The sequence below is a fragment of the Homo sapiens genome, chromosome 17 (assembly GCF_000001405.40).
Source record: "Homo sapiens chromosome 17, GRCh38.p14 Primary Assembly".
NCBI lineage: Eukaryota > Metazoa > Chordata > Mammalia > Primates > Hominidae > Homo > Homo sapiens.
Window position 1 is genome coordinate 3,265,111 of NC_000017.11, and position 19,943 is coordinate 3,285,053.

At 43.9% G+C, this 19,943-nt stretch overlaps 1 protein-coding gene and 1 pseudogene across 2 annotated transcripts in view; one reads left to right on the forward strand and one right to left on the reverse strand.

Annotated features, from left to right (window-relative positions):
- Positions 702–1,344, forward strand: OR1D3P (olfactory receptor family 1 subfamily D member 3 pseudogene; annotated as a pseudogene).
- Positions 11,003–19,943, reverse strand: part of OR3A2 (olfactory receptor family 3 subfamily A member 2) — a 110,196-nt gene continuing 101,255 nt past the window's right edge. The window contains exons 5-7 of one of the 2 annotated variants that reach the window (XM_047436157.1): positions 19,248–19,441; positions 13,966–14,043; positions 11,003–13,813 (exon numbers count right to left, since the gene is read on the reverse strand). In XM_047436157.1, coding sequence (XP_047292113.1) covers positions 12,860–13,813; positions 13,966–13,983 — 972 coding nt within the window. In that variant the 5' untranslated portion in view covers positions 13,984–14,043; positions 19,248–19,441 and the 3' untranslated portion in view covers positions 11,003–12,859. The remainder of the gene's footprint in view (positions 13,814–13,965; positions 14,044–19,247; positions 19,442–19,943) is intronic. The other variant, NM_002551.5, reaches the window with a different exon arrangement.

The window sequence follows — 19,943 nt, forward strand, 5'->3', positions numbered from 1 at the left end:
ACTTTACTGACATCCCTTTTTATTTCTAGTGACATTTCATCAATTGAGGGTTCCCAAATAGACTATCATATAAGCAAATAATAATTTTTCCCTCTCCTTTCCAATATGTTCCCCTTTGTCTAGTTGTACAATATCTATTTCTTATAATGTATACATCTGTTTTAAAAATCTATAAAATGTCATAACATAACATACTCATCTTTAAACATTTCAAGAGTACAGTAAGATGATAGGATTTAAAATAAGTCATAGATATTATTCCTATAATATTGAGTATGCCAGATTAGAAGTTGCTGGAATAATTAAGTTGCACAGAGATTTTCCACGTTCTGTTTTTGTGCCTTATGACTTTGTTGCCTATCTAAACAGATTATAAAATTTAGTCTAAAATATTTTTAATGCTAAGAAAATAGCTGATTTTGCTTATCTTCTTGTCATCTTACAAATTGAGGACACCTTGTAAACATTTGTTGGTGTTAATGTTGCAGAGAGTTGGGGAAATGGATGGAGGCAACCAGAGTGAAGGTTCAGAGTTCCTTCTCCTGGGGATCTCAGAGAGTCCTGAGCAGCAGCAGATGCTGTTTTGGATGTTCCTGGTCAGGTACCTGGTCACGGTGCTGGGAAATGTGCTCATCATCCTGGCCATCAGCTCTGATTCCCGCCTGCACACCCCCATGTACTTCTTCCTGGCCAACCTCTCCTTCACTGACCTCTTCTTTGTCACCAACACAATCCCCAAGATGCTGGTGAACCTCCAGTCCCAGAACAAAGCCATCTCCTACACAGGGTGTCTGACACAGCTCTACTTCCTGGTCTCCTTGGTGGCCCTGGACAACCTCAACCTGGCCGTGATGGCGTATGATCGCTATGTGGCCATCTGCCGTCCCCTCCACTATGTCACAGCCATGATCCCTGGGCTCTGTATCTTGCTCCTCTCCTTGTGTTGGGTGTTCTCTGCCCTCTATGGCCTCATCCATATCCTCCTCATGACCAGGTGACCTTCTGTGGGTCTCAAAAGATCCACTACCTCTTCTGTGAGATGTACTTCCTGCTAAGGCTGGCATGTTCCAACATCCACGTCAACCACACAGTACTGGTTGCCACGGGCTGCTTCATCTTCCTCATCCCCTTAGGTTTCATGATCACATCCTACGCCCGCATTGTCAGAGCCATCCTCCAAATACCCTCAGCCACTGGGAAGTACAAAGCCTTCTCCACCTGTGCTTCCCATTTGGCTGTGGTCTCCCTCTTCTATGGGACTCTGGGTATGGTGTACCTGCAGCCCCTCCAAACCTACTCCATGAAGGACTCAGTAGCCACAGTGATGTATGCGGTGGTGACGCCATGATTAACCCTTTCATCTACAGCCTGAGGAACAAGGACATGCATGGGGCTCTGGGAAGACTTCGCCAAGGAAAAGCCTTCCAGAAGTTGACATGAGGGGTAATTTTGGGCATTGAAGTGGAGACAGAAAATTTCCTCCACCGTGAGCAAGGCCTGTGGGGGATATCGGAGTGATTAGAACACAGGTCCAGCTCAGAATGAGTTTATGGATTTGTGGTGAAGCAAAGACGCCTCCGTCTAACCCAACTGCAGCTGCACCAGACCCATCTGCTTCAACTTTAATGTAACAAGGTTGTAAGTTGTTTTTCAGTGGCCATGGCTCCTTAGGTCATGTGACCTGAGTATGCTCGGATGAACCAAGCATGAAACCACAGGAGAAACTAAGTGCTGGGGCTGAAGCTTTTTCTTTTTTTTTTTTTTTGAGACAGAGTCTGGCTCTGTCACCCAGGCTGGAGTGCAGTGGCACGATCTCAGCTCACTGCAACCTCCACCTCCCGGGTTCAAGCAATTCTCCTGCCTCAGCCTCCCAAGTAGCTGGGACTACAGGCGCCCACCACAACGCCTGGCTAATTTTTTTGTATTTTAGTGGAGACGGGGTTTCTCCATGTTGGCCAGGACAGTCTAGATCTCCTGACCTCATGATCTGCCCGCCTTGGCCTCCCAAAGTGCTATGATTACAGGAGTGAGCCACTGGGCCCGGCCATAATTTTTGTACTTTTAGTAGAGACAGGGTTTCACCATGTTGACTAGGCTGGTCTCGAACTCCTGACCTCAGGTGATCCACCTGCCTCGGCCTCCCAAAGTGTGGTGAGAGATGAAGTCCCTGGACTTCCTGGGTAGAGTGGGACTTGGAGAACTTTTCTTTCTAGCAAGAGGATTGTAAAATGCACCAATCAGCACTCTGTAGCTAGGATTGTAATATGTACCAATCAGTGCTCTGTAGCTAGCAAGGGGATGGTAAAATGCACCAATCAGCACTCTGTAAAATGCACCAATCAGCAGGATCCTAAAAGTAGCCAATAACAGGGAGGATTGAAAAAAAAGGGCATTCTGATAGGACAGAAACGGAACATGGGCGGGGACAAATAACAGAATAAAAGCTGGCCACCCCTCAGCCAGCAGCGGCAACCCACTCTGGTCTCCTTGCATGCTATGGAAGCTTTGTTCTTTTGCTCTTCACAACATTTCTTGCTGCTACTCACTCTTTGGGTCCATGCCATCTTTAAGAGCTGTAACACACCGTGAAGGTCCACAGCTCCATTCTCGAAGTTAGCAAGACCATGAACCCACTGGAAGGAACCAACTCCGGATACACCGGGATTATAGATGTGAGCATTTAATAATTTAATACCTGCCTCTGGTTTTGCTTCCCAGATTCCAGATTCTCAGCTTCAGGAGAAGCACCTCCACTCTTACTGCTTTCGCTAACTTCATTTCCCTAACACTATATTGCCATTGTTTTAATACATTCTTCTTTATCCTATGGGAATAGTTGTCTCTCATTATTATTTTCATTTGAATAGCTCTGACGTAATAAGGTTTATCTTTTTCCTGGTATTTGTTAACAATTTGCATTTTTTGTTAATCACTCTTGTGCATTTTATTTTTGGTTGTGTATTGTTCAATTTCCAGTACTATGGAATCTCTATGTATGTCTTTCCTTCAGAAGTAACCATGACCCTGAATTTTGTGTTTGTCATTTTCTTCCTTCACTCCAACCCGTGGGGAGTACAATTCAGCATGATATTTGGGTAGGGACACAGAGCCAAAACTTATCAGTGTCCATTCACCTACAGATGGACATTTGGGTTGTGGGGCAGGCAGCCTCTAAAATGTCTCCCAGTGATTGCTGCCTCATGGTATTCATAGCTGTATATAGTCCCCTCTCTTGGGTGTGGGTGAAATCTAGGGACTTGCTTCTAACAAAGAGAATACAGTAAAACTAATGACTTCTGAGATTAAGTTATAAAAGACTATGATTTCCATCTCCTCTCTTTCTGGCTCTCTTCTCGATTGCTCTGTGGAAGGAAGCAGACGTGTTTTGAGAGGCCTTAGTAGCAAGGAACTGAAGGCGGCCTCCAGCCAACAGACAGTGAGGCACTGAGGCCTCCAGTCCAACAACCAGCAAAATGTGGAAACTTACCAGGGATCACGTGAATGAGCATGGAAGCTTATCCCTCCCTGGTCAAGCCTTGAGACAGCTGCACCACTGGCTGATACCGCTAAGGCAGCCTCATGAGAGAACCCGGACCCAGTATTTCTGATGCAAATTTGGCATCCTAATTGAGATGTGCTATAAGTTTAAAAAACACGTACCAGGCCAGGCACGGTGGCTCACTCCTGTAATCCCAGCATTTTGGGAGGGTGAGGCGGGTGGATCATGAGGTAAAGAGATCGAGATCATCCTGGCCAACATAGTGAAACCCTGTACCTACTAAAAATACAAAAATTAGCCGGGCATGCTGGCATGCACCTGTAGTCCCAGCTACTTGGGAGGCTGAGGCAGGAGAATTGCTTGAACCTGGGAGGCGGAGGTTGTGGTGAACCGAGATCACGCCACTGCACTCCAGCCTGGCAACAGAGCAAGACTCTGTCTAAAAAAACAAAACAAAACAAACAAACAAACAAAAAAAACACATACCAGATTTCAAAGACTATGAAATATAAAAATGTAAAATCTGTCACTTATAATTTTTTATTTTTAAAATATTTTTCTTTTTTCACTACAACCATGACAGATGAAAAATTTTAAATATTAACATGTTGAAGTGGTAATATTTTAGATTATTGAATTAAATAAAATACATCATTAATTTCACCTGTTTCTTTTTACTTTTATTAAAGTGGCTCTTGAAAAATTTAAATTATGTATGTGGTTCATATGAAATTTCTATTGGATAGCACTGCTCTGGATGATAGCTTCTTCTTCCAGAAATGACTTATTTTTGAGTCTGGCAGGCAGAAAGGATAGGAGTAGATCCCTTTTATCCAACCCATGATCGAGTTAGTTGCTTAAAGCTGAGTTTCATTCTTTGCGAGGCTTGGCCTATTTCCGATTATGCCTTACTCCTAGAATGTATAGCACGCTAAAACTCCCATTTCAAAGCTGAGAGTGTTTATTGTACTTTTCCCTTTGGCAGCACCTTACCTGCAAGTTTTATCTCTCCAGCCCCATAAGCCGCTAAAACTCTGCTCACTTCTTAGCCTCTCAGCTACACTCTCTGCTATCTCAGTCCCTGTGTTGGAGTCAGCAAATGCGTTTTGAGGGGAAGCAGTTCAATCATTAGCAGTCTGTTTTTGGGATTCCTTTCTCTTCTGGGTTTTGGCCCAAGTCAGACTTGGTAGCTCTTTTTTGTCTCTCAGACTTCTGGTGGCAAGGTCATTTCTTTGCTTGATGAGGAGCAAGAGTCTAGAGTTGTCCTCTTCTACCAGAGTTCCCTGAGGGAATTAACTGAACGTCCCAAAACATACACTCTGTCATGTACTAACTTCCATCCTATGCGTCTAGAATGTTGCCAGCTATGTATCTTTGGGGAAATTTAGAAAATAGCCGAGTCATTTTGTGTAGGGCTTAATTCTCTCATGGAAACTGAGTTGAGCAATGCTAGTGTAAAGAATCTTGTTAAGGTAACTTAGGTCACACACCCATATAGAACCATCACACCATCGCCAGGCCATTAGATATTCTGATACCCCCTCTCTGGAGCCTGGGCTGGAACCACACTCCCTGGAGCCACCTGGATGCCAAACAGAAATTGGCAGCTGTCAGAAAGGGAGAAACAGAAGTCGGAAAGACCATAAATGTTCACCACCAGCAGTTATCAATAAAATAAAATGTAGAGTCCTGGTTTACACTCCAACATGTAAAGAGATTAGAAGTCATCAGTCCTATTCCCACAATAAAAAGTGCAACAAATTCAAAAGCAACAACTCTTCTTAGATTCCTCAAAGAACTCAAGTCACAGGGCAAGCTGCTGCTCTGAAAATGGGAGAGAGGTGAATACGAAGAATCATGGCTTAACTGGAATAGAAGCCCAGGAGCAGAAGCCCACTGCTGGGGCCAGCACAGGTACACACACCGAGACCACAATTGACAAGTGGGAGAATCGTTGTGAACTAGCTTGGGAATTAGAAACTCTGGGCTGGGGTGTGGGGAGTCTTAAGAGGACCGTCACAGTTTCCTGAGTTTTACCTCCAGGAACACCACCAGATTCTTACTGTGAAGATTTTAGAAGGATCCTTTTATGCTTCTGACGGGGAGGAGAAAAGCAACCCCTGTCAGACCCCCAAAAACAGCAATTTTGAAATATGCTCAGAGTATATTTCCTTAATAATGGCTGGCTCTCAAGGGAAATGATTTTACCAGAGCCTAACCCATTGTAGGTTTTTGTTTTTGGAGATAGAGTTTTGCTCTTGTCACCCAGGATGGAGTGCAATGGGGCAATCTCGGCTCACTGCAACCTCCGCCACCTAGGTTCAAATGATTCTCCTGCCTCAGCCTCTGGAGTAGCTGGGATTACAGGCATGTGCCACCATGCCTGGCTAACTTTTTGTATTATTAATAGAGATGGGGTTTCACCATGTTGGCCAGGCTGGTCTTGAACTCCTAACCCCAGGTGATCCACCTGCCTTGGCCTCCCAAAGTGCTGGGATTACAGGTGTAAGCCACCATGCCTGCCCCAACTATAGGTTTTACCAGAGCCTAATTGACAATGTGGGGGAAGAAAAATACCCAGCTCCCTCTAACCTTCAACATGGAGGAAGGGAAATACCCAACTCTAAACTTCCTGTCTCACTTAAGGGAGAGGAGGAAGTTGAGTAGCACTTGTGAAATAACAGTGCAGGGGCACAAACTCATCATGAGACCTGAGTGAGACCGAGACCTAATCACAGGATTATAGAATGCTTTCCTTGCCCCCACATCTCACCATCACACCAGTAGGGCTCCTATATGCTAACGGGATTACAATGGAAAGAACTGCAAGGTTCCAACCCTATTTAAGAAGGAATATCTACAGAAACCCAAAGACAATGGGGAGATAAACACAAGGACACCAGAGAAAATTTTACCCACTGATATCTATGGCTACAGCAAATAGTAAACACAGCCTAACTTCTGGCCATATAAACACAACACTTCCCACTAAAGGCCTATTTGCCATAGTTCCCTTTACCCATACGTGATGTCCAGCATTCAACAAAAATTACAAGACATGGTAAAAGGCAAAACACACAGTCTGAAGAGACAAAGCAAGTATGAAAACCAGAATCAGATATGACAGAGATTTTGGAATTATCAGATTGGGAATTTAAAATAACCGTGATTAACATGCAAAGGGATCTAACGGAAGAAAAGTGTACAATATGTAAGATGGTTAGTGTAAGCAGAGAGATGGAAACTTTAAGAATCAAAAGGAAATGCTAGAAATCCAAAACACCATAACAAAAATGAAGAATGCCTTTGACGGGTGCATAGAGTGAAATGTTTGTCAAAATTCATGTGTTGAAATCTAATCTCTAATGTGATGGTATTTGGGGATGGGGCTTTGGGGAAACGATTAGGTCATGAGAGCAGAGCCCTCATGGAAGGGATCAGTGCTTTACAAAATGAGCCCCAGAGAGCTCCTTTGTCCTTTGCACTATGTACAGATGCAATGAGAAAACAGCCACCTATGACTTAGGAAGTGGGCTCTCATTAGATACCAGGTCTATTGGCAGCACCTTGATATTGGACTTCCCAGCCTCCAGAACTGTGAGAAATAAATTTCTCTTGTTTATAAGCCACTCACTCTATGTATTCCGTTATAGCAGCCCAGATGGACTAAGACAATGGCCTCATCAATAGACTAGAGATGCCTGAGGGAAAAAAAAAAATCTGTGAACTTGAAGTTATGTCAATAGAGCTTGAAGATATGTCAATAGCAACTTCTCAAACTAAAAAGCAAATAGAAAAAAATGATAAAACTAAAAGAGAATGTCCAAAAACTGTGGGATAATAAAGAAAGATGTAACTTATACATAATGGTAAGACCAGAAGGAGAAGAGAGAGAAACAGGGACAGAATAAATATTTGAAGTAATGGTGTCTGAGAATTTTCCAACATTAATAACAGACACCAAATCGTAGATCTAGGAAACTCAGCGAACAACAAAATAGGATAAATACCAAATAATCTACATGTAGAAATACCATATTTAAACTTTAGAAAATGAAAGAAAAGATAAAAACTTAAAAGAAGGCAAAGGATGAAAAACCAACTTTACCTATAGAGGAAAACAAATAAGGATAATCTTGGATGCTGGTCAAAGGGCACAAAGTTTCAATTAGGTGGAAGGAGTAAGTTCTGGAGTTCTATTGTACAGCATGACAACTATAGTTAATAATAATGTATTATGTCTTTGAAATCTGCTAGCAATAGATTTTACATGTTCTCATCACACACACAAAACCATAACTATATGAGGTGATGAACATGTAAATTAGCTCGATTGTGGTAATCATTTCACAATATATACATTTATCAAACCATGCTTTATAGCATAGGTACAATTTTTTATTTCTTAATCATACTCCAATAAACCTAGAAAAAATTCAATTAAAATACTATAATTTTTCAACTTTCAGATTGTAAAAATTAAAGACACTATTTATAATAGCCCTTGATAGTAGGGATGTGAGTAAACAGACACTATCATAATTCAGTGAATTTATAAGCTGGTGCAAAAGTTTCAAAAATTAAGAAAGGTGTGTATGCATATCTCAAAATGTGTATTTGCACATCCTTTAATCTGATAAAGTTATTCATAAGAATTAATCGCAGCGAACTAATTCTAGAGATTTGGAAAGACAGCACTGTAAGAATATTCATCACTGTTTGTCTGTTGTTGGTGTATAAGAATGCTTGTGATTTTTGTACATTGATTTTGTATCCTGAGACTTTGCTGAAGTTGCTTATCAGCTTAAGGAGATTTTGGGCTGAGACAATGGGGTTTTCTAGATATACAATCATGTCGTCTGCAAACAGGGACAATTTGACTTCCTCTTTTCCTAATTGAATACCCTTTATTTCCTTCTCCTGCCTAATTGCCCTGGCCAGAACTTCCAACACTATGTTGAATAGGAGTGGTGAGAGAGGGCATCCCTGTCTTGTGCCAGTTTTCAAAGGGAATGCTTCCAGTTTTTGCCCATTCAGTATGATATTGGCTGTCGGTCTGTCATAGATAGCTCTTATTATTTTGAAATACGTCCCATCAACACCTAATTTATTGAGAGTTTTTAGCATGAAGGGTTGTTGAATTTTGTCAAAGGCTTTTTCTGCATCTATTGAGATAATCATGTGGTTTTTGTCTTTGGCTCTGTTTATATGCTGGATTACGTTTATTGATTTGCGTATATTGAACCAGCCTTGCATCCCAGGGATGAAGCCCACTTGATCATGGTGGATAAGCTTTTTGATGTGCTGCTGGATTCGGTTTGCCAGTATTTTATTGAGGATTTTTGCATCAATGTTCATCAAGGATATTGGTCTAAAATTCTCTTTTTTGGTTGTGTCTCTGCCTGGCTTTGGTATCAGAATGATGCTGGCCTCATAAAATGAGTTGGGGAGGATTCCCTCTTTTTCTATTGATTGGAATAGTTTCAGAAGGAATGGTACCAGTTCCTCCTTGTACCTCTGGTAGAATTCAGCTGTGAATCCATCTGGTCCTGGACTCTTTTTGGTTGGTAAACTGTCGATTATTGCCTCAATTTCAGCTCCTGTTATTGGTCTATTCAGAGATTCAACTTCTTCCTGGTTTAGTCTTGGGAGAGTGTATGTGTTGAGGAATTTATCCATTTCTTCTACAGACAAACAGAGAGCCAAATTGTGAGTGAACTCCCATTCACAATTGCTTCAAAGAGAATAAAATACCTAGGAATCCAACTTACAAGGGATGTGAAGGACCTCTTCAAGGAGAACTACAAACCACTGCTCAAGGAAATAAAAGAGGATACAAACACATGGAAGAACATTCCATGCTCATGGGTAGGAAGAATCAATATCGTGAAAATGGCCATACTGCCCAAGGTAATTTACAGATTCAATGCCATCCCCATCAAGCTACCAATGCCTTTCTTCACAGAATTGGAAAAAACTACTTTAAAGTTCATATGGAACCAAAAAAGAGCCCGCATCGCCAAGTCAATCCTAAGCCAAAAGAACAAAGCTGGAGGCATCACACTACCTGACTTCAAACTATACTACAAGGCTACAGTAACCAAAACAGCATGGTACTGGTACCAAAACAGAGATATAGATCAATGGAACAGAACAGAGCCCTCAAAAATAATGCCGCATATCTACAACTATCTGATCTTTGACAAACCTGAGAAAAACAAGCAATGGGGAAAGGATTCCCTATTTAATAAATGGTGCTGGGAAAACTGGCTAGCCATATGTAGAAAGCTGAAACTGGATCCCTTCCTTACACCTTATACAAAAATCAATTCAAGATGGATTAAAGATTTAAACGTTAGACCTAAAACCATAAAAACCCTAGAAGAAAACCTAGGCATTACCATTCAGGACATAGGCATGGGCAAGGACTTCATGTCCAAAACACCAAAAGCAATGGCAACAAAAGACAAAATCGACAAATGGGATCTAATTAAACTAAAGAGCTTCTGCACAGCAAAAGAAACTACCATCAGAGTGAACAGGCAACCTACAAAATGGGAGAAAATTTTCGCAACCTACTCATCTGACAAAGGGCTAATATCCAGAATCTACAATGAACTCAAACTAATTTACAAGAAAAAAACAAACAACACCATCAAAAAGTGGGCGAAGGACATGAACAGACACTTCTCAAAAGAAGACATTTATGCAGCCAAAAAACACATGAAAAAATGCTCATCATCACTGGCCATCAGAGAAATGCAAATCAAAACCACAATGAGATATCATCTCACACCAGTTAGAATGGCAATCATTAAAAAGTCAGGAAACAACAGGTGCTGGAGAGGTTGTGGAGAAATAGGAACACTTTTACACTGTTGGTGGGACTGTAAACTAGTTCTACCATTGTGGAAGTCAGTGTGGCGATTCCTCAGGGATCTAGAACTAGAAATACCATTTGACCCAGCCATCCCATTACTGGGTATATACCCAAATGACTATAAATCATGCTGCTATAAAGACACATGCACACGTATGTTTATTGCGGCATTATTCACGATAGCAAAGACTTGGAACCAACCCAAATGTCCAACAATGATAGACTGGATTAAGAAAATGTGGTACATATACACCATGGAATACTATGCAGCCATAAAAAATGATGAGTTCGTGTCCTTTGTAGGGACATGGATGAAATTGGAAATCATCATTCTCAGTAAACTATCACAAGAACAAAAAACCAAACACCGCATATTCACACTCATAGGTGGGAATTGAACAATGAGATCACATGGACACAGGAAGGGGAATATCACACTCTGGGGACTGTGGTGGGGTGGGGGCAGGGGGGAGGGATAGCATTGGGAGATATACCTAATACTAGATGACGAGTTAGTGGGTGCAGCGCACCAGCATGGCACATGTATACATATGTAACTAACCTGCACAATGTGCACATGTACCCTAAAACTTAAAATATAATTTAAAAAAAAAAAGAAAAAAAAAGAAAAAAAAAAGAATATTCATCACAACATTGTTGTTGCAAAACAATTGAAAATAACCCAAATTATAGAAATAGAGGTTTAATGAAAGAAATTGTGACTTACATGTTTAATGATATACTGTGCCACCATTAAAACAGATAAAGCAGGATGTTAGTCTTCATTATGTAAAAGATTGTATGGCACAATATGCAGGAAAAACAGGAAGCAGATCACAGAACAGTATGGTTCTACTGATGTGAAACGGGCATATCATATATACAGGAAATCGCTAGAGGAAAAAACACAACAATTGTCAGAGGCGTAAACTCTGAACAGTGTGATTTTTGGTGCAGTGAAGGAACATTTGGATTTTTATTTCCTACTTGACAAAATAATATCGTCTGAATGTTTCCACTATTAGGTATAACATTCTGAATAATTTTTAAAATAAATATATTTACACTGGGAAGGAAGGAAGACAGGCATGCATGCATCCCTCCTTTCCAGGAACTACATTTATGGGTATGTATTTTCTAAGCAAGGAGCTTTGAGAGAGCTAAGTAAGACTTTGGAGGAGAAGGTTATATTGGATATTCTACATTGAAAATTCTAAGGACCTGATTGTAATACAAACATTTACTCTTTCAAAAACTTTATCATATGTGTGAGGAAGGTAACATTAAATGAGAGAAAAAGGCATGGCAGGGAATGGAGATGAAACCTTCCTTTTATGACCTTAAGATATATCATATATGTATGAACGTAGTTTTAATTTAGTGGGCTCTTTTCCTCTCTAGACCTTTCCTGTTCCCTAAACATCCAGCAGGATTCTTTTTTTTTTTTTTTTTGAGACGGAGTCTTGCTCTGTCGCCCAGGCTGGAGTGCAGTGGCGCTATCTCGGCTCACTGCAAGCTCCGCCCCCCAGGTTCACGCCATTCTCCTGCCTCAGCCTCCCGAGTAGCTGGGACTACAGGCGCCCACCACTACACCGGCTAATTTTGTTTTTGTATTTATAGTAGAGAAGGGGTTTCACTATGTTAGTCAGGATGGTCTCGATCTCCTGACCTCGTGATCCATCCGCCTCGGCCTCCCAAAGTGCTGGGATTACAGGCGTCAGCCACCCTGCGCCCAGTCAACATCCAGCAGGATTCTTTTGTGGTAGCGGAGAGAAGAAAATGAAGGTGAAAGGCAAACAAATGAATGAAATAATCCATTGCACTAGGCCTATGGTTTTGGTTTTTTTAAAAAACTTTTTAACAAGTTTTTAACAAAACAACAACAAAACAAAACAAAGAAACAAACAAAAAATTTTCCCCTATTCTGATCTGCAGGGAATCTCATGTCCTCACCAGAAATATTGCAGAAATACTTTTGGTCACTTAGGCTGTGATTGACCGACTGGACATTCTTTGTAGAATGCTGCTTGCCAGGCACACAGAACTACAAGGCTTTAACTCTATCCAGAAAGTAGGCACAGCCAAAAACAGGGTAAAACTTGCACAGGGCTTGCTTGGCAGAACCTGACTTCATATTAACATCTTTGTTCATCTCTATAGAAACTATCATCATGTGGTATATATGATGCTTATTTACTTTGTCTACTTTTATAGCATGTGAGTTGCATGAGTGCAGAGACTTTTGTCCATTTTGTCCACCAATGCCTTGGAAGACTGTCCAGATCATAGAGGTACTCTAATAAGTATTTGTTGAATGAATAAATTATGTAGGGTTTCCTAGTAGGACAAATATGTAACACCGATCTTCAAGCATCAGGAGATAGGAAAAATAGTTGTGGCTGAATTTTTCCTGGTTACTGTCTTCATGGGAAATTTTCCTCAGTCCAGAAAAGGCAGGAAAGGAGGGACCCCATTACCTCTCAGGTCAGTGATCTCCTCCCCAAAAATATTTGCCACAGAGCACCCTGAACATCAGGGTTTCTGAGGCTGTAGATAAGAGGGTTCAGCATAGGGTTGATAACAGTGTTGAAAACTCCAACCCCTTTATCCTTGTCTGAAGCCTCCTCTGAACCCAGTCTCATGTAGTTGAAGATACCTCTTCCAAAGAAAAGACAAACCACGGTGAGGTGGGAGCCACACGTGGAGAAGGCCTTCTTTCGGCCCTCCACTGAACGGATTCGTAGAACTGCAGCTGCCACGTGGCTGTAGGCAGTGATGATGAGAACCAAAGGTGTGCCTGCCATGATGAAACCCACAGCAAAGAGCAGCAGCTCATTGAGTTGGGTGCTGGAGCAGGAGAGCTGGAAGAGCTGTGGGAGGTCACAGTAGAAGTGATTGACCTCATTGGGGCCACAGAAGTTGAGCGTGGACATGGCCACAGTGTGGGTCAGTGCGTTGGTGAAGGCACAAGCCAAGGACGCAGCCACCAACATCCTCTGGACTGTCTGACTCATGCGGGTGCTGTAGGTGAGGGGCTGGCAGATGGCCAGGAGTCGGTCATAGGCCATGGCGGTCAGCAGGAAGCAGTCCATCCCAGCCAGAAGGTGGAAGAAGAAGAGCTGGGAGAGGCAGGCGTCATAGGAAATTGTGGACTTGTGGGACAAGAGACGACCCAACATTGCAGGAACAGTGACAGTGATACATCCGACATCCAGCACTGACAGGTTCCCCAGGAAGAAGTACATGGGGGCGTGGAGTTTGGGCTCCACCAAGACGGCTGCCAGGATGCTGAGGTTGCCCCCAGTTGTGACCAGATAGGCAAAGAGGAGGAGCACAAAGACAACTGGCTGCATCTCTTCTGTTTGCACTAGGCCCAGTAGAATGAACTCAGCAACAGCGGTCCTATTGGTCCCAGCTTCTGGCTCCATGAGTTTCTGTAAGGACATGTCCCAGCAGGGGAGGTATCAGTTCACTCAGTTCACTTATTCAACATTAATATTTTAAACCATTTATGTTCAAAGCCCCGTGGCGAGTCCCCAGGCCATCCCTCACTCGTTGACCTCCTCCATCACCTCAATGCCTTTACCTTGCTCTTGGTTGACATGCCCAATGACACCACCACCTTGTCCTCCTCATCCTCTGCTAGCTGAAAAGGTCAGAATACCTGGAACAACATGAGAACTATAGTTAATAAAGTGTATTGCATTCAGGATTTTTGCTGAGTAGATTACAGCTGTCCTCGCCACAGGGGGGAAATGGGTAACTATGTGAGATGATGAATATGTTAATTTGTTTCACTATAGTAACCATTTTACTAACTACAAGTATCTCATAACATCATGTTCTGTACCTTAAATATAGACAAAAACTTTGTTTTAAAAAACATACAAGGCTTCCTCTATGAATATAGTTAGATTTAGATGAAGTTTTCCTATTGCTCTCTGAGGGATCATCCCAAACTAATAAGCAGGTTTCAAAATAGAAATCCAGAGAAAGTAGAATGCATTTAAAAACATAACCCAGGCTGGGCGTGGTGGCTCACGCCTGTAATCCCAGCAGTTTGGGAGGCCAAGGCGGGTGCATCATCTGAGATCAGGAGTTTGAGACCAGCCTGTCCAACATGGTGAAACCACATCTCTACTACAAAAATTAGCTTCGTGTGGTGGGGGGCACTTGTAATCCTAGCTACTCAGTAGGCTGAGGCAGGAGAATCGCTTGAACCCGAGACGTGGAGGTTGCAGTGAGCCAAGACTGCACCATTGTACTCCAGCCTGGGTGACAGAGCGAGGCTCCATCTCAAACAAAACAAAACAAAACAAAACAAAAACACCTAGGTTTAAAGGCTTCTAGACATAATAAAGGTCAAGCAAAGCTGTAGCAAGAATCAGAGAGAAGGTATTCATGATTGTGGATATCAGAAAGACCAGCCAAGTACATTTCTTCAAGGTGAGGGACCACACTCTGAAGTATCAACTCAACATTTCTTGTTCAATAAATTGTTAATGTTATTGTTACTTAAGCCCCTACAATGGACTTTGACTAATGACTTACTGTAAAATGATGTTTTTCTGTGTGTATTATCTGCTATTCCTCTCTAAAACCAAAGTTGTGGTCATAGCCTGTGGGTTGGTTGCCGCCAGGTGCAGTTACATTCTGCATTGCACAGTCACTGTCCTTCCCTTGTCCTTGACTTAGGCACGGTAGGTTGACCAATGGCTCTAATGATACATCCTGAAATGACGAAGGCATGTACTTGGAAAACCACGCTGAAGTCATTTTTCAGATTTTTTTTTTTTTTTTGAGACAGAGTCTTGCTCTGTCACCCAGGCTGGAGTGCAGTGGCGCGATCTCGGCTCACTGCAAGCTCCGCCTCCTGGGTTCACGCCATTCTCCTGCCTCAGCCTCCTGAATAGCTGGGACTACAGGCGCCCACCACCACGCCCGGCTAATTTTTTTGTATTTTTAGTAGAGACGGGGTTTCACCGTGTTAGCCAGGATGGTCTCGATCTCCTGACCTGGTGATCCGCCCGCCTCGGCCTCCCAAAGTGCTGGGATTACAGGCGTGAGGCACTGCGCCCAGCCCATCTTTCAGATTTTATATCCTACTCCAGATCAAAAAACATCAATGTCTCTATTGCCCATGGAATAAGCCAGGCCAGAGGTTCTTTAAAAGCAATGTTACTCCCTTGCATAGAATAGACTGGAATCAGAGGATGGGAAGCAGCTGGAGGGGAACAGTGATGATTGCCTGAGCTGGGGCAGTGAAATGCAGAGGCAGGAATGATTAAGGAGGTTCCAGAAATCAGAAATGCTGTAGCAGCAGTATGACTGATATGACTGCCTAGGGGTGTGGTCACCAAAATGATGTTTAAATCCTTTGTTCATAAAAGTGGGAATTGAGTGCACGGGTTGGTGGCACGGTCTTAACTGGTCTCACTAAGATCTGGAAAGCAGAAGAGGCAGGAGTGAATGAGAAGCCATCCGGGCAGGCTGACTGTGCAGTGTTTAGGTGGGACTTTAAAAGCAAGAAGCCGGCATTATCAGCAGTTCCTCAGCCTCTGGTGAGCACTGACTAGGGAAGTCAAGGGAAAATGTACTCACAATCCTGGAACAAGTGACTTACAGCCAGTATCAACCTTGGCTGCACATTAGATTTATGTGGGAGCCCCCAAAACTCCTGTTGTCCAGAATTTACCCACAGGCCGATTAAATCAGAATCTCCCAAGATAATACCCAGGCATCAGGATTTTTTTTTTTTTTTTTGAGATGGAGTCTCCCTCTGTCACCAGGCTGGAGTGCAGTGGCACGATCTCGGCTCACTGCAACCTCCGCCTCCCAGGTTCAAGAGATTCTCCTGCCTCAGCCTCCTCAGTAGCTGGGACTACAGGCATGCACCACCACGCCCAGCTAATTTTTTTGTATTTTTAGTAGAGATGGGGTTTCACCATGTTGGCCAGGATGGTGTCGATCTCTTGACCTTGTGATCCACCCGCCTCAGCCTCCCAAAGTGCTGGGATTACAGACGTGAGGCACCGCGCCCGGCAGCATCAGCATTTTTCAAAGCACCCACCTGATCACTGCTGTCTTAGCATTTAACTGAGCAGATACTTCCAACGACTAGCTCTTTCTTGCCACCCCCTCAAATTAAGAGTTTTGTTTGTTTGTTTTGTTTTCTCATTTTACTTTTACTGATAACCCTGAAGGGAGAGCAGGAAATACTTTATAAAATGACACACAGAAAAGTTACAAAAATTTAAGATACCTTGCAAAGGTTTGGTGGTATTTCCAGCCTCGATTTCCAACTCTGTTAAATTAGATTCTTAGTCCCCATGCTTATTGGAATCACCTGGGATGCTTTAAGAAGAAAATACTGATGCTCAGGCCTTTCACCAAGAATTTTGATTTAATTGGTTTAATTGGTGGTACCTGGGTATGGGTGTTTCCTTAGCGCCTCCCAGGTGGTTCTAATGCCCAGCCAGGACAGAGAACTCTGCCAGATTTGCAGCCTGGGAGGCATGATGATGGCTTGTTTCCCTCTTCATTGTTTTTCTCCATACCGGACATGAAGGTCACCAGCCCTTTTAGGTGATCCAGCCACTTCCACAAAGACTCCTCCACCTACGCTTAGAATCAAGGTAATCTCAGCCAGGTGCAGTGGCTCACACCTGTAATCCCAGCACTTTGGGAGGCTGAGGTGGGTGGATCACGAGGTCAGGAGATTGACACCATCCTGGCTAACACGGTGAAACCCCATTCAATACAAAAAATTAGCCAGGTGTGGTGGTGGGCACCTGTAGTTCCAGCTACTCCGGAGGCTGAGGCAGGAGAATCACTTGAACCCGGGAGGCGGAGGTTGCAGTGAGCTGAGATCGCGCCACTGCACTCCGGCCTGGGCGACTCCGTCTGAGATTCTGTCTCAAAAAAAAGAGTCAAGATAGTCTCTAAAGACTGACCCGCAGTTTCATGTGGATAACGTGCATCTCACTGGAGTCTCTACAGCAAGGGGATGTCTCCAATGTGAGGCTGTCTCGATGACCAGCCTTCCAAATGAGGTCTCCACTGTGTGTGCTCAGGCCACGGGGAAGCTGCAGAGGGGATGCCACATGGGTGAGAATGTGGATGCGGTGATCTCCAAGAGGTCCTTAAAGTTCTAAGATCACATGACTTGGAGGAGGGCAGAAATCATCCTCTGGCCTGATTATCACTGACAGAGGTGGTAACTGATAATGCTTTGCAAATCAACAAATCAAAGGGTGATAGCTCTTTACATATGTTATATTAAAGGATAGTTGACTACTTCCCTTTTTCCTGTCAGGTCCATTTTAACAGAAGCATTGGACAGCAACCCTGTGATCTTCCAGCTCCTTGCTCATGCTGTTTTCCCCACCTGCAATGGTTTCCCTCCAACGGCACATGCCCAGATATTTCACAACTTGACTCAAATGCTGACTGATGAATTAATCCTTCCTTGAAACTTCTCCATCTAAAAAGAATCTCTCTCTCCTTCTTCCTCTCTTCTGCTCTCCTCTTCTGTCTCTTTCTCTCTCTCTCTCTCTCCTCACCCCCTAAACTATCAATATACACCATTTCTTGGAATTTATGACTGTTTACATTTTGGGTGAGTCACTTCTTTATAGAGTCTGTCTCTGTAAGTGACTTGAGGACAGAATATGTTTGATTCATTTTCAATAGCAATAATCATCATAACACTTTACACATAGGTACCCAATATTTCATATTTTTCTCTTTTTTTGAGACAGAGTTTTGCTCTTTTTGCCCAGGCTGGAGTACAATGGCATGACCTCGGCTCACTGCAACCTCTGCCTCCTGGGTTCAAGCGATTCTCCTGCCTCAGCCTTCTGAGTAGCTGGGATTACAGGCATGCGCCACCACGCCCAGCTAACTTTGTATTTTTAGTAGAGACAGGGTTTCTCCATGTTGATCAGGCTGGTCTCGAACTCCTGACCTCAGGTGATCCGCCCACCTCAGCCTCCCAAAGTGCTGGGATTACAGGCGTAAGTCACTGCGCCCGGCCGGTATCCAATATTTCTTAAATAAATGGATGGTTAAAATGTGTACGATATCATCAGTATGAGCTAGAGTTCTCAGGGAAGACTTTCTGGACACACTGGAATTTGTCATGGCTTAGTGTGCTTTAGGGGAGGTCCAGGTTAAGTGCAGGGTTCAAGGCTGTGGCAGGGACTCCTCTGTGTTAACAGGACAAGCAGGTCATGGACCAGTCCACATCTTCTTTTTACTTAAACCTCCCAAAACAATACGGCCCTTAGGAGGGGCCACACCTTACAGACAAGTAAGTCATGGTCAGGGGTAGAAGAACCACTAAACAGCTGTTGCCAACCCTCAGACAGCTAGAGATACAATTGCTTAAAACCAGGGGGATTCTGGGATGACCTCAGGTCACCGAGACATCCAGAGGGTCTGACAGGGTCCCCACGAGGCCCACTGGGGAGCCCTCCTGCACGACCACTCTCGAGGCTCCCCTTACGAGCTGTGACAGCTCCCTGCTCTGGAACTCCAGCCCATCCCTCACGCGCCCAACATGACGAGGCTCAAGGACTTCGCTGGAGCGAGGGTTCCCCGCTGCCTGATGCAGTGGGTGCGGGCAGTGAACTGGTCTGAGCGAGTCTCCTCACACTCATGCTAACAGGCAGCAGGCTTCATCTGAGAGAGGCGAGCACGGGGAAAACCACAAAAGAACCCAGGACCTCCGGGCTGTAGTGCCAGGTCTTCCCCTAAATGGCTTTCCCTGTCAGGGGCATCCATCGCACCAGGCTTACTAAGCTGATGGCAACAGAAGCCCCTTCTCTATCTTGCAGGAGCAGAGGAAGGACTCAGGAGAACACTCACCCTGGCAAGGGCACGGAAGCCACTGAGGTTTCTTCAGGAAAGAAGGGGAGGAGCTGCGCACACCCCGTTATCCTCCCGGAGAGCGAGTGAGGGGCTAATGACTGAGAAATGAGAGGAATCAAGCTGCTGTCTTCTCTGTACAGGGCTGTGTTCACTACAGCATTCTCCTCTGGGGCACTCAGAAACTGGCTCTCCTAGGAGAGAGAAGGATGGGGGGAGAGACACGGAAAAGGAGACACCTCAGGCCCTTCATACTCATGGCAACGATGCCTCACCCCTTCTGGTATTTAGACTTTCTCACAAGGAAGGCTTTGCCTCTAGCCCTGGCTTTGTGGGCAGGTTGTTACGGCAGATGATGTCCGCTCTGCTTAATGTGGGTCACTGAGGCCTACAGGACTTGCCTATGTCCTCAAAGTCCCCCAGGAAGGGAGAGGTGCAGCTGGAGACTCTATATGGGCTTTCTAAGGGGATATTTTCTTTCCCAGATATCAACCAGGGCATTTGAGCAGAAACAAGCCAATTCCTGAACTTGTCTTGGACCTGGGGAGGTAGGAGGAGGCCCCAGAAGGGAGATAAGAGGGAAAAGCTTTCTTCAAAGCCGGTTTCCTGTTGAGCCCTCAGTAGTGAGGCGCTTTCTCTCCTGGGGACTTGTTAGTGGGGGACACTTGGACTGTGTCTTGGGGATCCTATAATGAT